Raw genomic sequence first — 20,688 nt, 5'->3', positions numbered from 1 at the left:
TATGTTATATAATATATTAGAATATAATACAGAATATATGTTATATAATATATTAGAATATAATACAGAATATATGTTATAGAGTATATTAGAATATAATACATAATATATGTTATATAATATATTAGAATATAATACATAATATATATTATATTATATATTAGAATATAATACATAATGAAATAAGGAATATAATAGAATATTATTTCATAGAATAGAATAGAATATTATTTCCTTCTATAATAGAATAGAATATTTCATTATTTCATCCCATATTCATTATTTCATTCTATAATATTATAGAATAGAATAGAATATTATATAATGTAATAGAATATTATTTCATTATATATTAGAATATAATATATAATGAAATAAGGAATATAATAGAATATAATAGAAGTAAAGTAATTATTATAAGTAAACACAGTAGAAACAAAGTTCACAATAAATGTCATGTGTTTGAATCATCTCGAAACCATCCTCCCCCACCACCTCCCTGGTCCATGGAAAAAATGTCTCCCATGAAACTGGTCCCTGGTGCCAAAAAGGTTGGGGACTGCTGTTCTAGGGCCACTGAGTGATTCACAGGACAGGAGACATTTGTGAGGGGCTCCTTGGGGACCCCTACTTCCCTGCCCTGTAACATCCAGCCTCATGTGCGCACGTGTTCAACTTCATGCCTTTGACTTAGACACATCGACATGAGCATACCGGCCTTCTGGTTCCAAGCCAGGGTTCCATAAACAAATCCTTCTTAGTTAGCCTTGGTAGCTCAACACCTTTGGTATCTCACTCACTTAACTGCCACGCCTACTCTTGTTGGATCCGGTTATAAAGTAAACTATGTTCTTTGAGAACTGTTGCATACAGATGAGTTGGCAGCCGGTCTGAGCTGGCCCACAGACTCATAAAATCAACAGGGCCTCGGGTACCCTCACCTAGCATATCCAAACTCTTGCATCAAAGGTGCAGGGACTTGCTCACATCGAGAATCTGGTTGCTTTCTTGGAGACCAAGAAAATGAGTTTTTGTTTCTACATTTACTCCAGCAATCCATGAGGTAAGAGGAGAAACACCTCATTGTCTCTTTGTAGGAAAAAGAAGTTAATTCTTGTGAAAATTTAGACCTCTTTTCCCCGCCTCAAATCTAGGCAGACTTGTCTGTCCACTCCTGGGGGATAGATAGAAGCATGGTTTTAACTCACTCACTGGATGCTTTTGGTGTGCTGGTTACATGTGGATTATTAGCTGTGTGCTGCATCTTGCCTTCCCTGGGTCACTCCGCAGCCCTGGGGCTGGAGGGCAGTAAGAATCTTTGGTTGCATCATGCCTGATTCCAAAGTCTTCTTTTGGTGGCAGAGATGTATGTAGGGTTTTCATCTCTGGTGGCATCCTTTCAATTGTAGCAAGACCTTGCCTAGTAACACAACCTCTGCCAAGCCGTTTCCATCTTTAAGGTAGAGGATCAAGGTGCTAGTGGGGTCTATTATGGAAAACATATATCAGGAAAAGGCAAGAGTTAGCCAGACATTTTGATTACCTTCACCCAAATGTCTTTCTTTCATTTTCTGATGTAGGACTTTATAGGAATTTTGCACCATTCTGAATGGATACATTTGGATTTCTCAACATTTGTTCAGCTTCCTAATGACTGTTGTGACAATTGCTCTATACCAGTGAATGCCAACTGTTTATCTCTGCTCTGAACAGGTATGGAGCCCCTTCTCCCAATATCTGTATCTTACAGATTTGGTGCATAGACGCTTAAAAGGAGTTGGTCTTTCGCAACCAGCAATCTTTAGGAAAAATGATTGAATTTTTCTCCTTTTAGCTGGGCTTACAAAATGGAGCAAAACATAGTGATTGTGCTATGGACCTTTTATGGACAGGGACTTGGCAGAGCCACTCACTGGATGCTTTTGATCTGCTGGTTGTACCTGGATTATTAGTTGCGAGCTGCACGCTGCCTTCCCTGGGCCATTCCGTAGCCCTGGGGCTGGAGGGCAGTTAGAATCTTTGGTTGAATCTTCGGTTACATTGGAGGAGCTGCCCAGTCTTTGTGGGCTCCCTTCAGTCATGGGCTTGGCTTGTGTTGTCTTACTCTACACTGTTTAGTGTAAATGGATTCTCACTAAGTCAGCTTCAGCTTTTAAGAGCATGATGGGGTGGAGATATCTGGGAACGTATGGGCCATCAGAAAAGCATTTTTTTATACTCAAGTCATGAAGGTGGATTTCTTCTGTGTAAGGAGGTGCACCAAGTCAGTGTAGGTGCAAGACTGCCCTTGTAAAGAAGCAGAGTATGTGAATTCCTTGTGAGTGGGTCTTAATCTTTAATGCTTTAATGACTTTTGGTTTGCCTGATTTTTTTTAATATAAGAAGTTTGTAATTGCCAAGCATGCTTTTCTGTGAAGAGCTAAGTCTCAAAATTCCCCATTCACGTTCTTTTCCTTTCCTCAGTAATGTGTTTTTCTGTGCTAGGTTATGAGTCTACCCTGCACCTTGTCACAGCTCAGTGATTGTCCAGGGATTCAGCTGTGACTCACATGCTTTGCCTTTTACTTGCTCCAGGGTTTCCATGCATTGAAGGCTTCCTGGTGCCCTCTCAGTGGAATTGCTTCTGGCCTGGCAGTTTGATCCTGAGGGTGACCCAAATGTTTCTCCCCTTGGCTCCATAATTTAAGATGCCAGTGATGACTATTGTCTTTCTTCTCTTCATTCTTGTCTTTCTCATGACTATTATTATTATACATACAGGTTTTTTTCTTCATTTGCCTTTCAACAAGCTTGTAATTAGAACTCATTGTGTTTTGGATGCTAGGTCCTGGGAAACCACTGAATGGCTTGGGAAATGCTTTGCTCTAGAGGGCAGGTACTTGGGCTAGGGGCTATGTGCATGGAAACAGGCTCTCACACGCTAATGGGAGAGATACCTGATGAGTGGGGACTGTGACACAGAAATGTAGCTCATAGTATCATCGCTGCCTGCACAGAAAAGTACATCATACTTTTCCTACAGAGGACCTCATGGAAGCATGATCCTAAATGCGCTGGGTGGGCAGGAAGGGGCCTACTGGAGGCAGGGGGAAGAACATTCTAGAACAAGGAAATGGCATTTACAAAAATATGCAAGAATGAGAGAGAGCATGACTTACACAGGGAATACCAGGCTGGTGTGGCTGAGGGTGGGTGGCCAGGGGAGGGGTGAGGGAAGCTGCAGGGTGCCACGATGAAGGACCTAGTATGTGATGCTGAGGAACTTGGGCAGTGTCCGGAAGGTGGTGAGAACCGGGGTAAGATCTTATTTACATTGTGGAAGAGTTGCTCTGCCTGCACAGTGCAAGGTGGACTAGAGTAGGGTAAGACCACGGCCGGGTAATCAGGGAGGAGATTACCAAGAGGGAGAAGACACAAAGTCTGGTGGCCAATCAGCTGCAGAGAGTGATGGGGACAGGCGAGGATGAAGTGGAGCTCTGAAACAGGAGCCAGAGACTCCCAAAGTCCGCAAAAAGAGCACACTTTGAATGGCACAGACCCTTTTCCTTCCACTCACCCTCCCACATTCAAGACTGTGATGACCTAGGCTCAAGCCAAAAGTATACAGAAAAGGGCCTAGGCTTTCCCAATCTGCTCTTTCTCCTGAAATATATATGGTTCAGGAATAGTATTAGTACTGCTGTGAAATAGCAAAAAGTGGTTGGCTCGATTATGTGGTTCAGAAATCATCATGAACAAGCAGGGTGTGCAGAAATTGGAAAAAGAAAACAACAAAAACAAACATCTTCAAAAAATGCTGAAGAAAAAAATTAGTGTAGAGACATATAAAAGATAGACCCCTAGAAAAGTCAACAATAGGCCTGGTGCAGTGGCTTACACCTGTAATCCCAGCACTTTTGGTGGCTGAGGCTCATCTGAGGTCAAGATTTCAAGACCAGCCTGGCCAACATGGAAAAACCTCATCTGTCTAAAAATTTGAAAATTAGCCAGGCATGGTGGCACACACCTGTAGTCCCAGCTTCTCAGGGGGCTGAGGCATGAGAATTGCTTGAACCCGGGAGGCGGAGGTTGCAGTGAGCTGAGATCGTGCCACTGCACTCCTCAAGCCTGGGTGATAGGGTGAGACTTTGTCTCAAAAAAAAAAAAAAAAAAAAAAAAAAAGAGAGAAAAAGAAAAAAGAAAAAGAAAAGTCAGTAATAAACCTTAAGGTCAAACCTTAAGTTACCTTAAGGTCAAAGGTTGTTCCTTCCTCCACGCAGGACGATTCTAAGCCATCCTTGCAGAAGATTGTGAAGGATGTGCAAAGTGTCAGCCTTTCTTGCCATTGCCTCGTCAGAATCTGTGAGCAAACGGAAAAAAGAACGATGCTCTTACACATGAAACTCCTGGATTCTTTTTAGAAAAATAGCAGAAAGAAACCAAAAATAGTGCAGAGAACAGGTCGCTTCAAAACTATTGAGGATCCAAAGATGTTCTGCCCTAAGGAGTTGCTTCTCAAAAACTGTTATTAAGGTCCTTAGCTGTCAAATATAAAACCCAACCCAAAAGCATTCCATTTAAAACCAGAGCATTGAAACACTAATTTTGAACAATCATTGTAAAGCCTCATCAAATCCAGCTCACTCATTGCAGAAATATGCAACTCAAAGGCCCTAGGAAAAATGTAAATCTGAATTTTCCCAGCACTGTTTTGGATGAATAATTTCCTCTCTCAGAAGAAGCCTGTTGTTACTTTTCAAAATTGGTTCCCCAGTATGCAACAGAGTCCATCTCTGCATGTGTGTATCTGCCCTGTGCTGTGTTCTGCCATTACCATGCTTTGTAAACTTTGCATTCTGGTTAGATGCGTGTGACTCACTGATGCTTCTAAGGGAAGATTCTTTTTGAATAATCCTTGAAATACAAGCCAGATTTTTCCATTTATTTAGAATTTCCCAATGTCCCTGCCCCTCCCTCTGCTCCAGTTGCACACACACCAGTGTTTCTTGGCTGGGATTCAGGAATTGTATTTATTGGGGTCTATCAGTGTGTCACCATATCCCCAGGGAACAGATTTAAATATGCAACCCAACACAATTGAAAGCAACAGGTTAATACTGTCTTTGCAGAGTTAAAACAGCCCAAGTTCTCTCAGGTGACTACCCGTAGGGGAAGTCTCATGGTTCGTTGCCCTTGATTAAATTCTCAGGAGCTTTCTGGCTTTATCCAGATCTACCATTTGTCCTTGAAGAGCTCAGCAGAACTCAGCAACTGTGAATAACTGTTGTGGGTCTTTTCACAGGAGAAGACTCTGTGAAGTGTGTGGCCCCTTGGAGTCCGAGTCCAGTGATGAGATATTCAGAGAGATAAGGGTAATCCCGGTCTCATGCTGGAAAGTGCATGTGACCATTTTGGGGATCAGGGTATTTGGATGCTGTTAAGGGAAGTGTTGGACTGCTGATGAATTATGCACAGAGTATGGGGAGCTTGAATCGGGTTCAGAGATAAGCCACAGGCATGGGCTAAGGTCACCTTAGACCTCTGGGAAGCCCCCGCTGTGCTGGCCTTAGTGAAGTGTGATGACACAGTCCCTATGCTGCAGAAGCTCTGGTCCCCGTGAGGGGATGAGTAGGGATGGCAGGTACAAGAGTGGCTGCATGACACATCAGCGAACTGGCAGAGCATGAGCACGTTCTAACCTACCAACCAGGCTCCCCGACCCAGTCTGCTTCTAGGGCAGCCCCGGGGGGGATGGAGGGGGCGGTAGGACACAGGGCTGTTTCCTCTCCCAATACTCCATCCCCTCAGAGGGAGTGGAGAAGGGGAGTCAGGAGACCCCCAGAGCGCTCCCCAGGACCAGGTCTGAGAGTCCTTTCCAACATGGGTCTCCTCACTCCTAGTCCTGCTTGAATCCATTGTGCATAAGAATTCACACCCAGCCTGGGCAATGCTCACCACTGAAGAGACAGGATGAGGTCTGCTGGGGACGGAGGCTGCCAGAGAGTGGAGAAAACCCCGTGCCGCACTCGGATTTTCTTCCCCTTATTACTGATACACCTGCTCCTTTGGCTGGGTGTTTCCCAGCCTGTGGAGTTTACAGATTTGGATTTCTACAAAGTTGCCCCTTAAGTATCTTGTGGCAGTGGGGAAAGGGGTGGAGAGACTGGGAGGATGGCACTGCAGCAAGATGAGCGGTGCGACCCAGGCACCCAGCGCACAGCAGGCAAATCCCTTCCCACGCGGATGACCACGGCCACTGGGACCTGAAGCTGGGAATAGGCAGCCACCGGAGAAGCGCGGCCGAGAGCTGGGGGCTGAAACTGCTTTCTCATCTATGAAGGGGCTGGTTTTCTCATCCTCACTGAAGGCCAGAGGAAATTAGACTTCAACCTCACCCGTTAGGATGTGGGTTGGAGATCAGGAAGAAGCTTGGGTTTTAGGGGTGTGGAGAGGCAGGAGTCCATTTCAGCGGGAAATGGACACAAACTTCTACAGACACGGAGCCTGCATCTATCTTTCTGGGAGGGGTTCCGGTGGCCGCTTACCGACAGGCAGGGCACGGGGCTGGTGTTTTTGGAAATCTTATCACAAGGCCCTCACTCCTGGGCTTGCACCAGGGAGGCGAGCCCCAGTTATCCCGCTCTGCAGTGGCTCCCAGGAGCAGGGGTATGTTTCTGACGACAGTCACCTCTGGCTATTGCTCTGATTCTGCCTTTCTTCAGGTTGCCTGGGTCTATCCCATAAATGAGCCTGTGATCACTGGGTACAAGCTCCCTTGCAGCTTCCTTTCTGTCTGAGGTCCCAGGGATACCCGCTAGCCCTGCTGCTCACATCTTGCCTCCTCACTCGGCATGTTTCTCTTTCTGTTCTAAATGTCCCAGCTCATGCCCCTCCATGGTACCATCCCCATTGACCCCAGCCCCACTAGGGCCCCCAATCCTGGGTCTCAGCTGCCAGTGAATGCTGCAGCCCTGCTTCAGTTGCTCAGTCAGCACCCCACGCAGAAAAGCGCCTCGGGCGGAAGCTGGCGGCACCAGAGTTTCTGTCTTTGCCTGCGTAGCCATGTGGGTTAGGGAGCCCCAGGGACGCCAACAGCCAGACCACAGGCGGGCTAATTTCCAAATGCTGACACAGTGAATGCCACCCATATTTCACCAGTGACTGGAGAGCAGATGCTGGGCATTCGTGGGCCCTGCTTGTGCCTGGGGATGGAGAGAAGGCAGGACACTTGAGGCAGATGCCAGTGCTGCCTCTGAGCTGTTGATGCTCCCTGCCCTGGAGTTCACAAAAATAATCCTCTACATGGTGCATAGAGTGTTTTTGTGTTTTTTGAAGTATTACAGGCAGGCCCCGGCGACATGATCTTCGTCTCCCAGATAGGGAAATTCTGAAAATCAGGAAAGGGGCTGGGCGTGCCCCTGTCACATAGCTGGTAATTGGAGCTGGGTCTCTGGCCTTCAGGGCACTTTCCTCTGTGGTCACACCTGGGTTTCAGAGCCACCTGGCCTCCACTTTTCTGAGCAGCTTCCTTCAGCATTTTCTTGTTTCCTCTGTGCTTGCATCCCGCCTGCCCCTTGGGGTCACCCTGTTTCCAGGCTATTGCGTCTCCAGGCCCCTTGGTCCAGCTGATGTGGGTTACAAGGCCCACCCGTGAGGTGGCAGTGGGCTAATTTTCAATAATCCAGTTGGTGACTGTTCTTCAGAGAGAATCTTCTGGAATCTCTGACTTAGTGACGGCACAGAGACTTCCTGAGTTCCTTAAGTCACGTCTTCCTTCCCTTAAGTCACTTCTTAAAAAAATCAATTCATTTCTACAAGAACTCATGTATGCATTTCACACAGTGAAACCTGTGCAGTGTCACGCACTTATATCAGACGGTCATTGCCTCTCTTTTACATTGTCAGTATGGAATTCTTCACGGGAAACCTGCCACAGTGTCCTGCCGGCCTGTCTAGTCAACAGTTCTTCATGTCTCACTGAAGTCCCTCTTGCCATAAATCCAAGTCATGTTTCTATAGTGTCGCTCATCCATCCGGATTCTCCCAAGCACTGCATCATTTAATCTGAACGATGGCCCTGGGAAGTAGATAGCATCATTGTCATCTGACAGATGAGAAATCCGAGGCCTGGCTCCTGCCCGGTCTGGGGCCAGACAGGTGTCCTTCCGGGCGCCCTTCTGAAATCAATGCCGACCTCTCTTGCGCAGTGCCCTCGGCAGGCGCCAGGGGGCGCTGCTGCTGCTGGTAAGCGGGAGGCCCGGCGGAGGCGAGTGTGGGCCTTGCCGCGCCTCCTCTCCCGCCTGCGCTTTGCTGCCCGCCGTCTGCAGCACCAGTGCCTACTTACGGGTACTTTTCAAGGTCACTTCTAGTTACTGTTTCTTTCTAAGTCCTTATCACAATCTATAATTACTCTGTTTATTTGGCTCCTTTTAATTTCCTGCCCAGCTCCCCCACTTCCCTGGGTCTTGAGAAGGCCGTACCCCAGTGCCCAGCACAGGCGGCTCCCACTACAGATGCCCTGAGAGACGCAGACGGGAGGGCTAGCCAGGAGAGGGCACGCAGGGAAGGGAGGTGAGGAGGGAGGGCCAGCCTTTCCCCCAGACCTTCCTTCCTTTTCCCTCCTGCCTTAGACATAGGAATTCACTCATCTTCTGGGCCAGATCTTTAGGGAACTTGGCGTGGAGACATCAGGTTAAGATCTGGGTTCTGTCCGGGAGCGGTGGCTCGGGGCTGTAATCCCAGCACTTTGGGAGGCTGAGGCAGGAGAATTGCTGGAGGCCAGGAGTTCAAGGCCAGCCTGGGTAACCTAGTGAGACCTCATCTCTACAATCAATACACTAGCCCGGAGTGGGGCACTTGCCTGTGGTCCCAGCTACTTGGGAGGCTGAGGCGGGAGGATCCCATGAGATGGGAGGTAGAGGCTGCAGTGAGCTATGATTGTGCCACTGCACTCCAGCCTGGGCAACAGAGCAAGACCCTGTCTCAAAAAGAGCTGCGTTCCTACCCCAGTTCTGCCTCATATGAGTTTTTAAAATTCTCTAAACCTCAGTTCCCTTCCTTGTCAAACAGAGAAAATTAGACCTACTTCATGGGGTCGCTGTGAGATTGAATGAAATAATTTCTGCCAAGCCCCTACCACAGTTGCTGGTATGTGACAGAGATTCAACAAGTGTCTGTTCCTTTTCCCCTGTGGGAATTCCATGCCTAGAAGGGACTAACCATTTAACCCCAATCCTGTAGAGTGAAATCAACCCCTTATGTGCCTTCAATCACATAAGAGGGGTGACCTGCCTGGTGGCATGGGGGTCTGGTAGCAAATACACTACCACCTTTCAGGTCTGTGCCAAAGTCACATGGGAAAGGATGAGTTTTAATGAGTTTCTTCCAATAATTAAACCCAAGGTAGACATATAGCTACCAACTGAGTCCTATAGTAGACTAAATTCTAACCTTCTAGCTCTGTGAACTTGGATCAATCACTTAGCCTCTCTGGTGTTTGATCTCCTCCTTTAGACACTGGGAATAGTAATGCTGTCTATGTCACAGAGTGACATAGACGCTCCGTAAACTACTGAGTTTACCCCTGGAGACCGCCTGGAACACAGTGAGATCTGTTAATGTCAGTGATTTCTGGTCCATGGATGAGAAGGAAAATTACCCCAACTGAACTAGTTTCAAGAAAACTTTATGGAACATTTATTATTGGCCAGTCTCTTTTATACATCTTGTCTTCCCTCACCTTCAAATAACTCTGAAAAGTATGTGCCCTTCCCATTTTTCATTCATTCCTCCATTCACTCCTTCAACAAACCCTAGCTGTTGCCACGGAGACACGTGCCATTTGAACAGTTGTTAATCGTCAATCAAATATGGTGGTGCAGAGTTGACATTTAACTGTTCTTGCCTGTTTTTCATGGTAGGGCTCACTGCTGTGTTGCGAACCTCCTTAAGGAGTGGATGTTTTTCTCTGGGCACTTCTGCTTGGTCTGTAGCATGCATTTCCTTGTCTCTTCATTCTTAGCTGCTCTTACTTGCCAGTGTTCTTTGCCTCCGCATCCCTTCTCATCCCTCCCCATCCCTCGCCATCCCTCGCCATCCCTCCCCAACCCTCGCCTTCCCTCACCATCCCTCCCCATCCTGCCCCATCCCTCCCCATCTCTCGCCATCGTGGAGCTTCTCGCATTCCCTTTGCCCACTCTATTTTATCTACATTTTCTTCAGTTTCTCCAAGCTCTTGCACAGGGTTTAGCTGCTCTTGCACTTTTTAAAACTTTTAAACCCTTTATTAAGCCAATAAATGCTAAAATTAGGTAGTTTTTAAAAATGTAAATAAATACCCAGAAACACATTTTTATGTATGTTTTCAGGCACAATATTGAGTTCAAAATACATGAGATCTATGTGCTATTACTCACTGTAGAAAATCTAAGCTTAACTTAAAAAGACAAGATGGGGACAATGCTCCCAGGTGCATCCTGAGCCATTGCACAGGCACTCGTCCTTGCCACCTGTCAGCATTGGCACTTATGAATCCACCATGTGCAGTGTCCACACCATCCCTGGATGTTTGCTTGGTCATTAGTTCAGTGAGCAAGTGAAAAACTAGCTCAGCTACAACTTAGAGAAAAAAATAGCTTCTCTCTCCCCTGGCCTTCTCTATTTGGAGAGAGCCCTGAGGCCCAGTGAGCAGTGTTGGGTATAACATAGGGATGCAGCTGACAGGTCCCTGCACTTGTGGCACTCCCAGCCCAGGGGAGGGCACTGACCTTGGTCAAGAAAGATTTTTAGAGTCTCTACTGTGGGTCCACATGCTGGGTATTCAGAGGAAGGCAAGACGGGCTGCTGTCCTGGAGGGTGTGTTCTGTAGAGGGGAGATCGACAATAAGTGAATGCATCACCAGCAGGGAAATAAACAACCAACCTGACAGCCACTCTTGATAAGAGATGGAAAGAAGCCAAGACAGGATGGAGTTCCCACTGGAGCAGTGGGTGCTACCTTAGATTGGATGCTAAAAGGCTCTCGAAGAAGGTGGTGATGGAGCTAGGTCCCTAGCGACATGGAGCAGCCAGACATGGGAAGGCCTAGAGCGGAGCAGCCCTGAAGGAGGAAGCAGCAGGTGCCGAAGCCCAGGGCAGGAGCTGCGCCGCACATTGCAGAGCAGAGGGGGTGGGAACATAGTGAGCTAGGTGACAGAGGGGATGACTTTGGGCTGTGGAGTGTGGCAGAGTCCTGGCTATATGGGGCCTTGAGGTCATCAGAACAGGGGGAAGCTGAGAAAGGTCTCAGCAAGGCAGCAGCATGATCCGATTTTCAGGACTCCTTCCTCACTCTGACGGTGTGGACTCTATTATGAGGAGAAAGAGGCGGTGGACAGATCAAGGAGCAGGCGAGTTTTGTAGCCCAACCAAGGAATTATGGTGGCCTGGCAAGCAGAGGAGATGAAGAGAAGAGGACAGACAGGTCCTGACTATATTGTGTAGAAAGAGCAGACAAGATTTGCTGATGGATTGCGTGTGAGGTGAGAGGAAGAAAAGAATTAAGGGTGAATCAAGGTTTTGCTTGACTCGGGGGTGGGTGTGCCATTGACAGGGCTGAGGATGATCTGAATTGAACAAAACCAACATGAAATCAGTTGTATTCAGTGCTAAGAAGGAAAAGAAGATGGTGCTAGGACATTTTTTTAGAGTAGGAATTTCAGTCCAAGATGCCTATGCCCAGATGTGCTGTCCCAGCGTACATCACATGTGGAGCTGCCCCTCCCCTGCTCCCTCTTCTGCGGTCCTCTCTCTGCCCTGCACTCTGAGGGTGCACATGCACCTCTCACCCCAGCCTGGTGGCCATGGTACCTGCAACCCTGGCCAAGAGCTTCCAGAGAAAGGATCACGCCAGGCATCCATCACCAAGCCCTGTGCCCTGGTTGCCTCCGGGTCTGGAAGGCTGGTCGTGCTAACCTCAGAGGAAATTCAGTTGGTCTGGCACAATTGCATCCTTCTCGTCTAACCTAATCTCATCATTCCATGGGCAATCTTTTTCTCTCTGATCCACAGCCTTTCACCACTTCATTAATTTGTCCCTAGCAGCCGGATAAACAGTCTTCTCCCTCTGGGCCTCATGTACACAAAGATGCTTCTGACAGGCCCCTTGAAAGCAGCTCAGAGCCTGCTGTCTTTTCCCGCCCGGAAGTTCTGGTGGGAGAACCTTCTTTAAGAGGCTCCAGGAGGGGATGAGGGGAGGGAGAAAGAAGACTTCCCAAGACCTGGCAAGAGCCCCGAGCAGGACTATGCATCCTTCCTGCATTTCCTCTGCAGCTCACACAGGCACAGTGGTACCGTCCTTGGGTCTGGCAGGTGAGAGCTGCCTGCCCAAATCCAGACCTGGGAGTTAAAACTGATTTCCCCAAGTGCCAACTCAGCCTTTGGCTGTCCCAGTCCTGATCTCTTCATCAGAGCCCCTCAGCCCTGCTAAACAAGGAAGGAGCCTGGCATTTATTGTGGCTTTCCCCATACCAGATCCTCTACTGGGCCTTCCCACACTTAATCCTATCTCAGCATTGGGAAACAGATTTCCTTATTTCCATGTTCATGGAGGAGAACGTTCAGGTTTAGAGAAGCCAAATAACTCACTCTGATAACAAGTGGAAGAGGTGACGTTTAAGCCCAGCTCTACACCGCCTTATAGCCTATCCCCTCACTATTTTCAAGGCACCTGTGGAGCCCCATCTTTGCTTTGCCAACCTCATTTGCTGCCTCTTTGCAATAATGTCTTCAATCTTAATGCTGATCACAGCTTGGACCTCACACCCTCTGGGTGCCAGGGAGCCAGCATTTTGGTTAGTACTAAGCCCAGTTGTCAATCTCATCACAATTCCTAGAGGGCTTCCTTCTATCCTCTTTTCTCCATCTGCTCCAGTGAAGCTCAGGGGACCTTGGCAAGGTGGGAAAGGTCAGGACTCAAATGATGTTGGGGAAAAAGAATAAACCCATCACTGAAAATGGGTACAATTATTGGAAATGTGGGAGGGTAAGAAAAGTGAATCAGGAAGACAGTATGTCCAAAACAACAAAAAAGAAAAGAAAAGGAAAGAAAAACCGTAAACAGCTCACAATGAGCTCCAGGGTTTTTACTGCTCCTTACGTTTCTTAGCAACTATTTTTTGTTTGTTTTCCAGGCTTAATCGATTACATTGAGAAATTAGCTCTGTAAAATCCCCAGGTGAGCTGCTGGGTCATGCACCAGTAAGCTGCAGAGCTGGAATTCAAGCCTGACTCCAGATACGTGTTTCAAGGCCAGAGACTCAGTGGGGAGCCTGCACGTGCGCTCCAGCTAGACCACCTTGTTTCTTTTCATAGGAGTTAGTACTCATAGCACACCAGGGGCTTCAGTTTCTTTCCCCAAACCCATCGTGCATCTATGATACTTAAGAAGATCTAGGTTTGGCCCTGCAGGTGTGTCATCAAACAGATCATTACGATTTGTGCTAATCCAGATTAGGATGTTGAGAGGTGGTGGTTGGGGACATTCTTTGTAGCTCTTGATAGTGGCCCTTATTCAGGAAGTACGCAAGGAACATCCAGCCCTGCCTTTGAGAAAGGGCCCAGCCTCTGGACATGCACAGTGGGAGGTTTCTGTCATTCTCCCGTGAGTCCTTGAATGTAGACTCAACACAACTCTGTGCCCTGTTGTCACCCAAGAAAGCAGCAAGGTCCCCATCCCAGTCACGTTCCATCCCTCTCTCTCCTTGGTGTATGTGGTGTGGGGTGGGGAGCAGAGGTAAGTAGTGGCACGGGGGAAATGTGGGGCAAGGCGGGGTTTTGAATGGGCCCGTGGGCCTCTGGCTTGTCTGCGAGGTCATGCTGAGTCTCTGGAGGGGCTGGCTCAAATGGGAATTGGAACATCCGCGCTGCTGACTCCAGGAATACAACAAGGGCTATGGGCAAGGAATAAAATGCTCAAAAACATTCAAACAAAAGATGTGCTGAAAGAAGGAGAAAGAGGGAGAAAAGAAACCGAGCTCCCAGGAGAGCCGAGAGAAGGAGCTCTTGCTTGGCTGGTGCAGTAGGAGGGACCCTGTGAGTTTCCTCCCATCCCACAGACCTGCCCTCTGGCACTGGGAGGTGTGAGGGACTTCACCCTGGAGCTGCCAACCCAGGATCGTAACCAAACACCGTTCTCAGACCTGCAGAGCCCAGGTGCAGGTGGATGGGTGGGTGGGTGGGTATGAGGGCCCACGGGCCAGCCTGGACTGCTTCACCCAAACACACCTGGGCAGCAGCAGGGAAGAGCTTCTCCTGCAGACCCTGGGAGAAGAGACATCTCCCACACTAGCAGAGGTTCTGTTTAGCAGTGAGGGTGAGCAGAATAATACTTTCCGTACTCCAAGCTCTTGTGGCAGAGAAAATCATTCTGATGGTGGTGCCTTCAGGAGCACAGTAACCACTTGCTAGAGAAGGCAGGTGCTGAGTTCAGCCGAGGTTCCAACAAGGGCCCAAAGGCATGGGGAAGTGGGTTGAGAGTTGAGGGGAAGTCGGTCGCGACTGTACTGTGTGACAGGCACTTTACATGTGTGTTTTTTCTATCCCAGCTTTATTGCAATATAATTCTCATAAAATAAAACCCACTAATTTGAAGTGTGTAAGAGGTGGTTTTCAGTGTATTCACAGAGTTGCACAGCCATCATTACAATCAATACCGGAACATTTTCATCACCCCCAAAAGAACCTGGTGCCCATTAGCAGTCACTCCCCATCCGCCTCTTCCCCAGCCCCTGGCAGCCACCAGTCTAACTCTCTTTCTCTGTAGATTTGCCTATTCTAACATCTCATCTACATGGAATCATACAATCTCTGGCCTCTTTCACTGGCCAAATGTTTTCCAGGTCCATCCATGTTGTAGTATCTACCAGTACTTTATTCCTTTTTAGAGCTGAATAATATTCCACTGTATGGATATGTCACATTTTATTTATTGATTCATCAGCTGATGGACATCAACTGTTTCAAAAGCTTCCACTCTTTGGCTATTATGAATAATCCTGCTATTCACATACTCATTTTACGTGGATATGTGTATTTCTCACTGAATCCTCATAACAACAAAGGCACTAGAATCATCAATATAGTATGGAAAAGTGCAGCTCAGAGAGGTTAAGGAACGTCTTTGAGACTGAAACGCTTCTTTTGATTTGGCTTGATTTTGATAGAATGGCAAATAAGTGGAAATAAAGTGGAATTTAATTTTACCTTTTCCAGGTCATTATACACACCACTGAGTGAAAAGAAACAAGGAAAGGAATGAGAGAAAGTGCGTCAGCAGGCCTTTTGTAGGTACCACCGGCCTCTCCTGAGAGGTCGGTCTCAGTGAGGGCCCTGAGCTTGCCTGCCTTGGCATGGCTCTAAGGTCTAGGGGGATGCCCCCCTTCCTGCTTGTCTTCCTTGTTTCAGAGGCAGACACGAGGATTGGTCAAGAGCAGTTCAAGACATTTGCTGGAGGACGCAGCTGGGAAGTCTCCCGGGCAGTGTCCTGTTCTGAGAGGGCTCCTGGGTGGGCTGTGCCCGGTAATGAGGATGGGGGCATGCTAAATGCCAGCAAGAAGAGCCCCAGTGAGAAGACTCCAGCATTTGCTGAAGGGCAGCTCTATGGCATGGAACAAAGGGTCACCGAAGCTGCTGGCTCTGCTCCCTCTGGCTCCAGGGCTTTCCCAGAAAGCACTTGAACATGGGAGGGTGGGTGATATGACGTGCCGCTCCATTAATGTAACTCTGATGGCTTGGCAGAACCCAAGCCGAAACTGGTAATCATTGACCCTTTGAGGGTCAATGATACCCGTGGGCATAGCAACGGAGTCAACAGAAATGCTGGCTCTTCCACTAATCCCCTAGAGCCTGGCTCTTCTCACCTCCTTTCTGAGAAGCAGGATGCTATTGCAGCCTGCACAGTAGCAAGAGCAGCCCAGGATTAAAGGCCTCACAGATAGGGACAAGATTGCCTCCTTTCATTCAATGCATGGCAGGAGCTTGAAGGAGAAACTGGAGTTGCACGTAGTATGACTCAAGGTATTAACAGCTTGATCACGTTCTATGTCCAAGTGTGGTCTAAGCTCTTTCCATCCATCTGTAAGATAGATATAAAAGCCCCCATTTTTCAGATGAGGAAATTGACACACTGAATACCCAATGTTAGAGCTAGTAAGTGACTGATTTCAGATTCAAACACTGGAAACCCACTTCTTAAATCTTACCCCATAGGCCACTTGTTGGGACTGGGACAGAGAAACTTCAAACACGCTAAGGTGTGGGCCTAGAAGGCATCCAAATCCCTCTCCAAACCCAAGCACGTGGTGCTCTGTGCCTTAGATCTTGTGTGTCTGTGGAAGCTGGGCTACACCAGCCTTCTTTGCCTCATGCAACATAATGAATACTAGTCTCCGAGTGTCCATACTGAAGACATTAGTTGAATTTTTTCCATTTTATAAATTGTCAAGGTTGGGCATCCTATATGTTTTCTTTAAAACAAAGTGTACATTCTTGTTGCAGACGCTCGGTAAAGCATGTTCAGGCCTCCCGTCCACATGGAATCCATTCCTTTCTGGTCTGGAAAGACTGAGTTGATTTAATACCAACCCAAACCACACAGAACTAGAAGGGTCAGACTAATAACAGATCTCTGCACACATAATAGCTACAACTTTTTAATAAACACTGGAATTCCTTCATTAAACTCCAGTGCCATTTGAGGTGGGTGGCTGAATATGAGACTTAAGAACAGTTTCATTACAGATTTATCCGGTTTTTAGAACAACCATCTCCTCCTCAACACACACACAGGATAAACAAGTGGAAGAATGATTATTTGATTTGCAAAAATTATTCTTCACTTTATAAAATAATCCACTATAGGATTCCTATAAATATCTAATATCCTAATGCATATGTAATATGATTCACCATACACAATTTCTGTCTACATACATCTTTTGAGAGTATACAGTGATTTCAATATGGAATTATATATCTAGATGTGTACAATGATATTTTCAAGGCAGTGGTGTTCTTTTTAATAGTAATAAGAATAAACAGACCATGAGAACAGGAAAGACTGTGGATCATTGTGTTAATTTACTTTTCAATCCTAAATTCACTAGAAACTAGAATGGGCTAGTTAGGGAGATGTGGCCTCAGTGTGTGGTAGAGGTTTGAGAACTTGGGTTAAAGTTGAGTCCACTGGAGCCCAAGCTGACCTTTCTACCTTTGCTGATGTGGAGGGTCCTGTGTGTTCCTGGTCCAAACTAACTGAAGTTTCACCCTGGCTTCTGTGTGGGCCTGTCCTCTGTCTCCAGACAGTAGCCATATGTGTTGTATTTTACCAGGTTTCTTCTCTACTGTGCCTTCATCCCCATCCTGGGCCCTGACAAAGACAGTGTGACAAGTTCTGAGCCCCACAGGTGGAATCCCAAACCAAGCAGCTCTTGCTGGTCACCCCAAGATCTACTTATACATGAAGTTTTGAAAATCATCTCCTGAACCTCTTCTGACAGAGGTGAGTGGCTTGATTTTCAATAAGCAACTATTGGACACCCCAGGCTACAAGAAAGCTAGGTAAGCATTTGGTTATGCAGAGCCTCTTAAGCAAAGGCTGTGGGACCTAGTCATTTGCCCTTGCAGGTTCTGCAAGTACTGAGTCCCACCACCAGCATCAGAGAGTGGTGTTAGGCTGGCATTGCTCTCTCCACAGCCCCTTTCAAAAATCAAGCACTTTGAGTCATTTACACCTTCCTATATCTGTTTATTTCCTTGACAGATACCTGTTGAGCCTCTGTTCTCTGCCTGGTGCTGGGGTAGGCAGGGACTGGGGACATGGCAGTGGAGGAGACAGCACAAAAGTAAATGTATCAGTTAAAATTACTGTTCATACCACAAATGAAAGGAAAGCATACAGTCAAATTTTGCAAGGAGAGGAAACTTGATTTAAATGGGGAGGGGGATCTTCTTCCTTCTTTGAGAAACTGACATTTAAATGTCTTTCTGAGAAATGACATTTAACTTGAGGTCAAGAAGTTGGCAAGGGGGTGGGTGTGGCGTGGGGGAGAGTAGAGCTCCAAGGGTTTCCAGCCGAGGAAATAGCAGGTGATGTAGGCCCAGAGAGGTTAAACGACCTGCTCCAGCCTCTATGGTTGGAGGCGGGGGGGCCCTCCGATGTGTCCTTTTTTGCCTTTGTATTCCCAGTCTGCTTCCTGGACATGACCTCAGTACTGACTCCAAGGTCAAGAGCTTTGCCCTCTGCTAGAGCAGTGAGTGTATGGGGCTGGCTCATCGTCACTGGCAGGTTTGCCTTATCCACCAGGTGGTGGGTTGGCGGGCGGGCAGGAGGGGTTGGAGGTGTTGCCTCCTCTTCCCACAGGAGCCATTGTCATCACACCAAACTTCTGCCTATAGAAGAAGTAACAACACCCTGTAGAGGCCTACAGATGTCCCTAAGTGTAAAATGTCACTCCCACAACCTCAGGCCGTTTGCTTATGCCAGGACAATCCACAGAAGCTTCCAAAAAAAAGTATGATGCTGGACAGTGTATCTTCAGCTGCTCTCATGGCTGCTTCTTAATTCTGTTGATATCATAACCATTTCTAAACTCTGCCTGGCTCTGCCAGGCCCCTCTCATGACATCAGGGCCTATGGTCTTCTCCTCCAACACACACCCTCAGATCCAACCCAGGGTACCTGCTGCCCTCTCCATCGAGCTCTCTCCTTCCTCCTCTTGTAGTGCTTTTGTAGATGCTGCAAAACCCCAGAAAACTGTCCCCTCCTGATCCTTTTATGCTCACTATCTAAAAAGGTTTGGACCCTTGCTAGCTCTCACCCTCTCATGTGATCACTCACACAAAGCAAGGAAATGTATAGAAAACCATTCCTGGCGCAGAGTAAGTTGATGCTGAATAAATATTTACTTTCCCTCTACATTGTTTACCAACTGTGTTACATATGCTTTAGGGCTTAAAAGCAAAGACTTGTCAGTTGGGAAGATCTAGATTCTTCTAATCTTTGCTCTTTGGGCTTTCTGCTTTGTGACCTTGGATAAGTTGCTTAACTTCTCTGAGCCTCAGTTCCCAGCCTCCTAGAGTTACCATGAGTTTAAATCCAACAACACCTTTAAGAGATTTTGTATCCGTGCCTCGGATGACACTACAGGCCTTTGGGGGCCCAGAATGCCACTACTCCAGAGGGGCACCGCTGGCATCGTGCTCCAGGGGGCGCTGTTCACTGAGACTGCCGCAGCGTGTGTCTCCAGCAACGGGCAGCAGACTACAGAAGCCCATTCTGGCCGCCTTAATGGCCATTCCACACTCTCTGGAGACTGTTATCAGCCCCAGCCTTTTTCTTCATTCATCTGTGCCTTGCACTTCCATTTTTACCTTGGTTTACCTTCTCAACCCTGGCTCAATCCACTTATATCCAATAAAGCAACACTTTCCCTTAAAGTGCAGTACTCTGAATTTTAGAAGAGAAAAATTCTTAGAAAATCTCTAGTATAGCCAAGTAGCTCCCATTGTGTGGCAGTGAGTTTCTCCTGTCCCCTAGGGTGCTCCAGCTCCTTGTCACTGTTCCTCACAGCCCCTGAGGATGTGCTGCTCTCTCTTTAAAACTCTGAACAGGGCAGGGATCAAGTGCTTCTTTTGGTCTTTCTTCATACAGCTGAGACATGCTAGCATTTCTGAAATATCTTAAGAAACTATTATGAAGAACAACAGGAAACAATATTGGAAATACAGAGGCCAGGCATGGTGGCTCACACCCGTAATCTCAGCACTTTGGGAGGCTGAGGGAGGAGGATTGCTTGAGGCCAGGAGTTCAAGACCAGCCTGGGAAACATAGTAAGACTCCATCTCTGCAAAAACAATAATAACAACAAAATCAGCTGGGCATGGTGGTGCACACCCGTGGTCTCAGGTACTTTTTTTTTTTTTTTTTTTTTTTGAGACGGAGTCTTGCTCTGTCACCCAGGCTGGAGTGCAGTGGTGCGATCTTGGCTCACTGCAAGCTCCGCCTCCCGGGTTCACACCATTCTCCTGCCTCAGCCTCCTGAGTAGCTGGAACTACAGGCGCCCGCCACCACGCCCGGCTAATTTTTTGTATTTTTAGTAGAGACGGAGTTTCACCATGTTAGCCAGGATGGTCTCGATCTCCTGACCTCGTGATCCACCCACCTCGGCCTCCCAAAGTGCTGGGATTACAGGCGTGAGCCACTGGGCCCAGCTGGTCTCAGGTACTTTGAGGCTGAGGCAGGAGGATCTCTTGAGCCCAGGAGGTCGAGGATGCAGTGAGCCGTGATTGCACCACTGCACTCCAATCTGGATGACAGAGTGAGACCCTGTCTCAAAAATAAATAAACAAATAAGAAACAAAAGAAAAGAAATGAAAAAGAAAATACATACAGGATAAGCATTCACCTTCCAAAGCATTGATTTCTGACTACAGCAAATGTGGGCTGCCACCAAAGACTGGTAAGACCTCACAAACACCCTGCCCGGGTTCAGGCTTCACTAGCTCCCAGTGGTGGGGACATCACAGCTTCCAGCGCTTCCCACTGGGACCCAATCAAGGTGCCAAGAAGAGGTATAGGTTTTTGTGGTCAGAGTATAGTTATCTTAGGATAACCAATGGCTTTGGGAAACAAGTTAGCTAGATAGAATTCAAAAGCCGAACTTGAAATTTTT

The 20,688-nt window shown here is 47.3% G+C and overlaps 1 protein-coding gene and 1 long non-coding RNA gene across 5 annotated transcripts in view, besides 3 other annotated features; one reads left to right on the top strand and one right to left on the bottom strand.

The window, feature by feature from the left end:
* KCNJ1 (potassium inwardly rectifying channel subfamily J member 1) overlaps nt 940-20,688 on the top strand; it is a 29,277-nt gene continuing 9,528 nt past the window's right edge. Inside the window, exons 1-3 of one of the 4 annotated variants that reach the window (NM_153767.4) lie at nt 940-1,063; nt 1,581-1,713; nt 17,346-17,515. Coding sequence is in view for 1 of the 4 variants with exons in the window: in NM_153765.3 (NP_722449.3) it covers nt 1,684-1,713 (30 nt within the window). In the remaining 3 variants the exon portion in view is untranslated. The remainder of the gene's footprint in view (nt 1,064-1,580; nt 1,714-17,345; nt 17,516-20,688) is intronic. The other 3 variants (NM_153766.3, NM_153765.3, NM_153764.3) reach the window with 3 other exon arrangements.
* On the bottom strand, nt 1,057-10,803 carry LOC107984409 (uncharacterized). The gene is made up of 3 exons (XR_001748442.2): nt 10,746-10,803; nt 4,226-4,339; nt 1,057-1,486 (listed from the first exon to the last, which is right to left on the bottom strand). It is a non-coding gene; the product is annotated as an uncharacterized LOC107984409 (long non-coding RNA).
* Nucleotides 8,068-8,362: a silencer, noted in NCBI's record as "tiled region #11395; HepG2 Repressive DNase matched - State 12:CtcfO". NCBI's record gives its function as "represses a minimal TATA promoter and a strong SV40 promoter by Sharpr-MPRA in HepG2 cells {active_cell/tissue: HepG2}" and the evidence as "EXISTENCE:reporter gene assay evidence [ECO:0000049][PMID:27701403]".
* Nucleotides 8,068-8,522: a biological region, named in NCBI's record as "Sharpr-MPRA regulatory region 11395".
* Nucleotides 8,263-8,522: an enhancer, noted in NCBI's record as "active region_5744". NCBI's record gives its function as "activates an Ori minimal core promoter by ATAC-STARR-seq in GM12878 lymphoblastoid cells {active_cell/tissue: GM12878}" and the evidence as "EXISTENCE:reporter gene assay evidence [ECO:0000049][PMID:35858748]".

This window comes from Homo sapiens, chromosome 11 (assembly GCF_000001405.40).
Source record: "Homo sapiens chromosome 11, GRCh38.p14 Primary Assembly".
In the NCBI taxonomy this organism is placed as follows: domain Eukaryota; kingdom Metazoa; phylum Chordata; class Mammalia; order Primates; family Hominidae; genus Homo; species Homo sapiens.
This window is presented reverse-complemented; position numbering and strand designations above follow the sequence as displayed.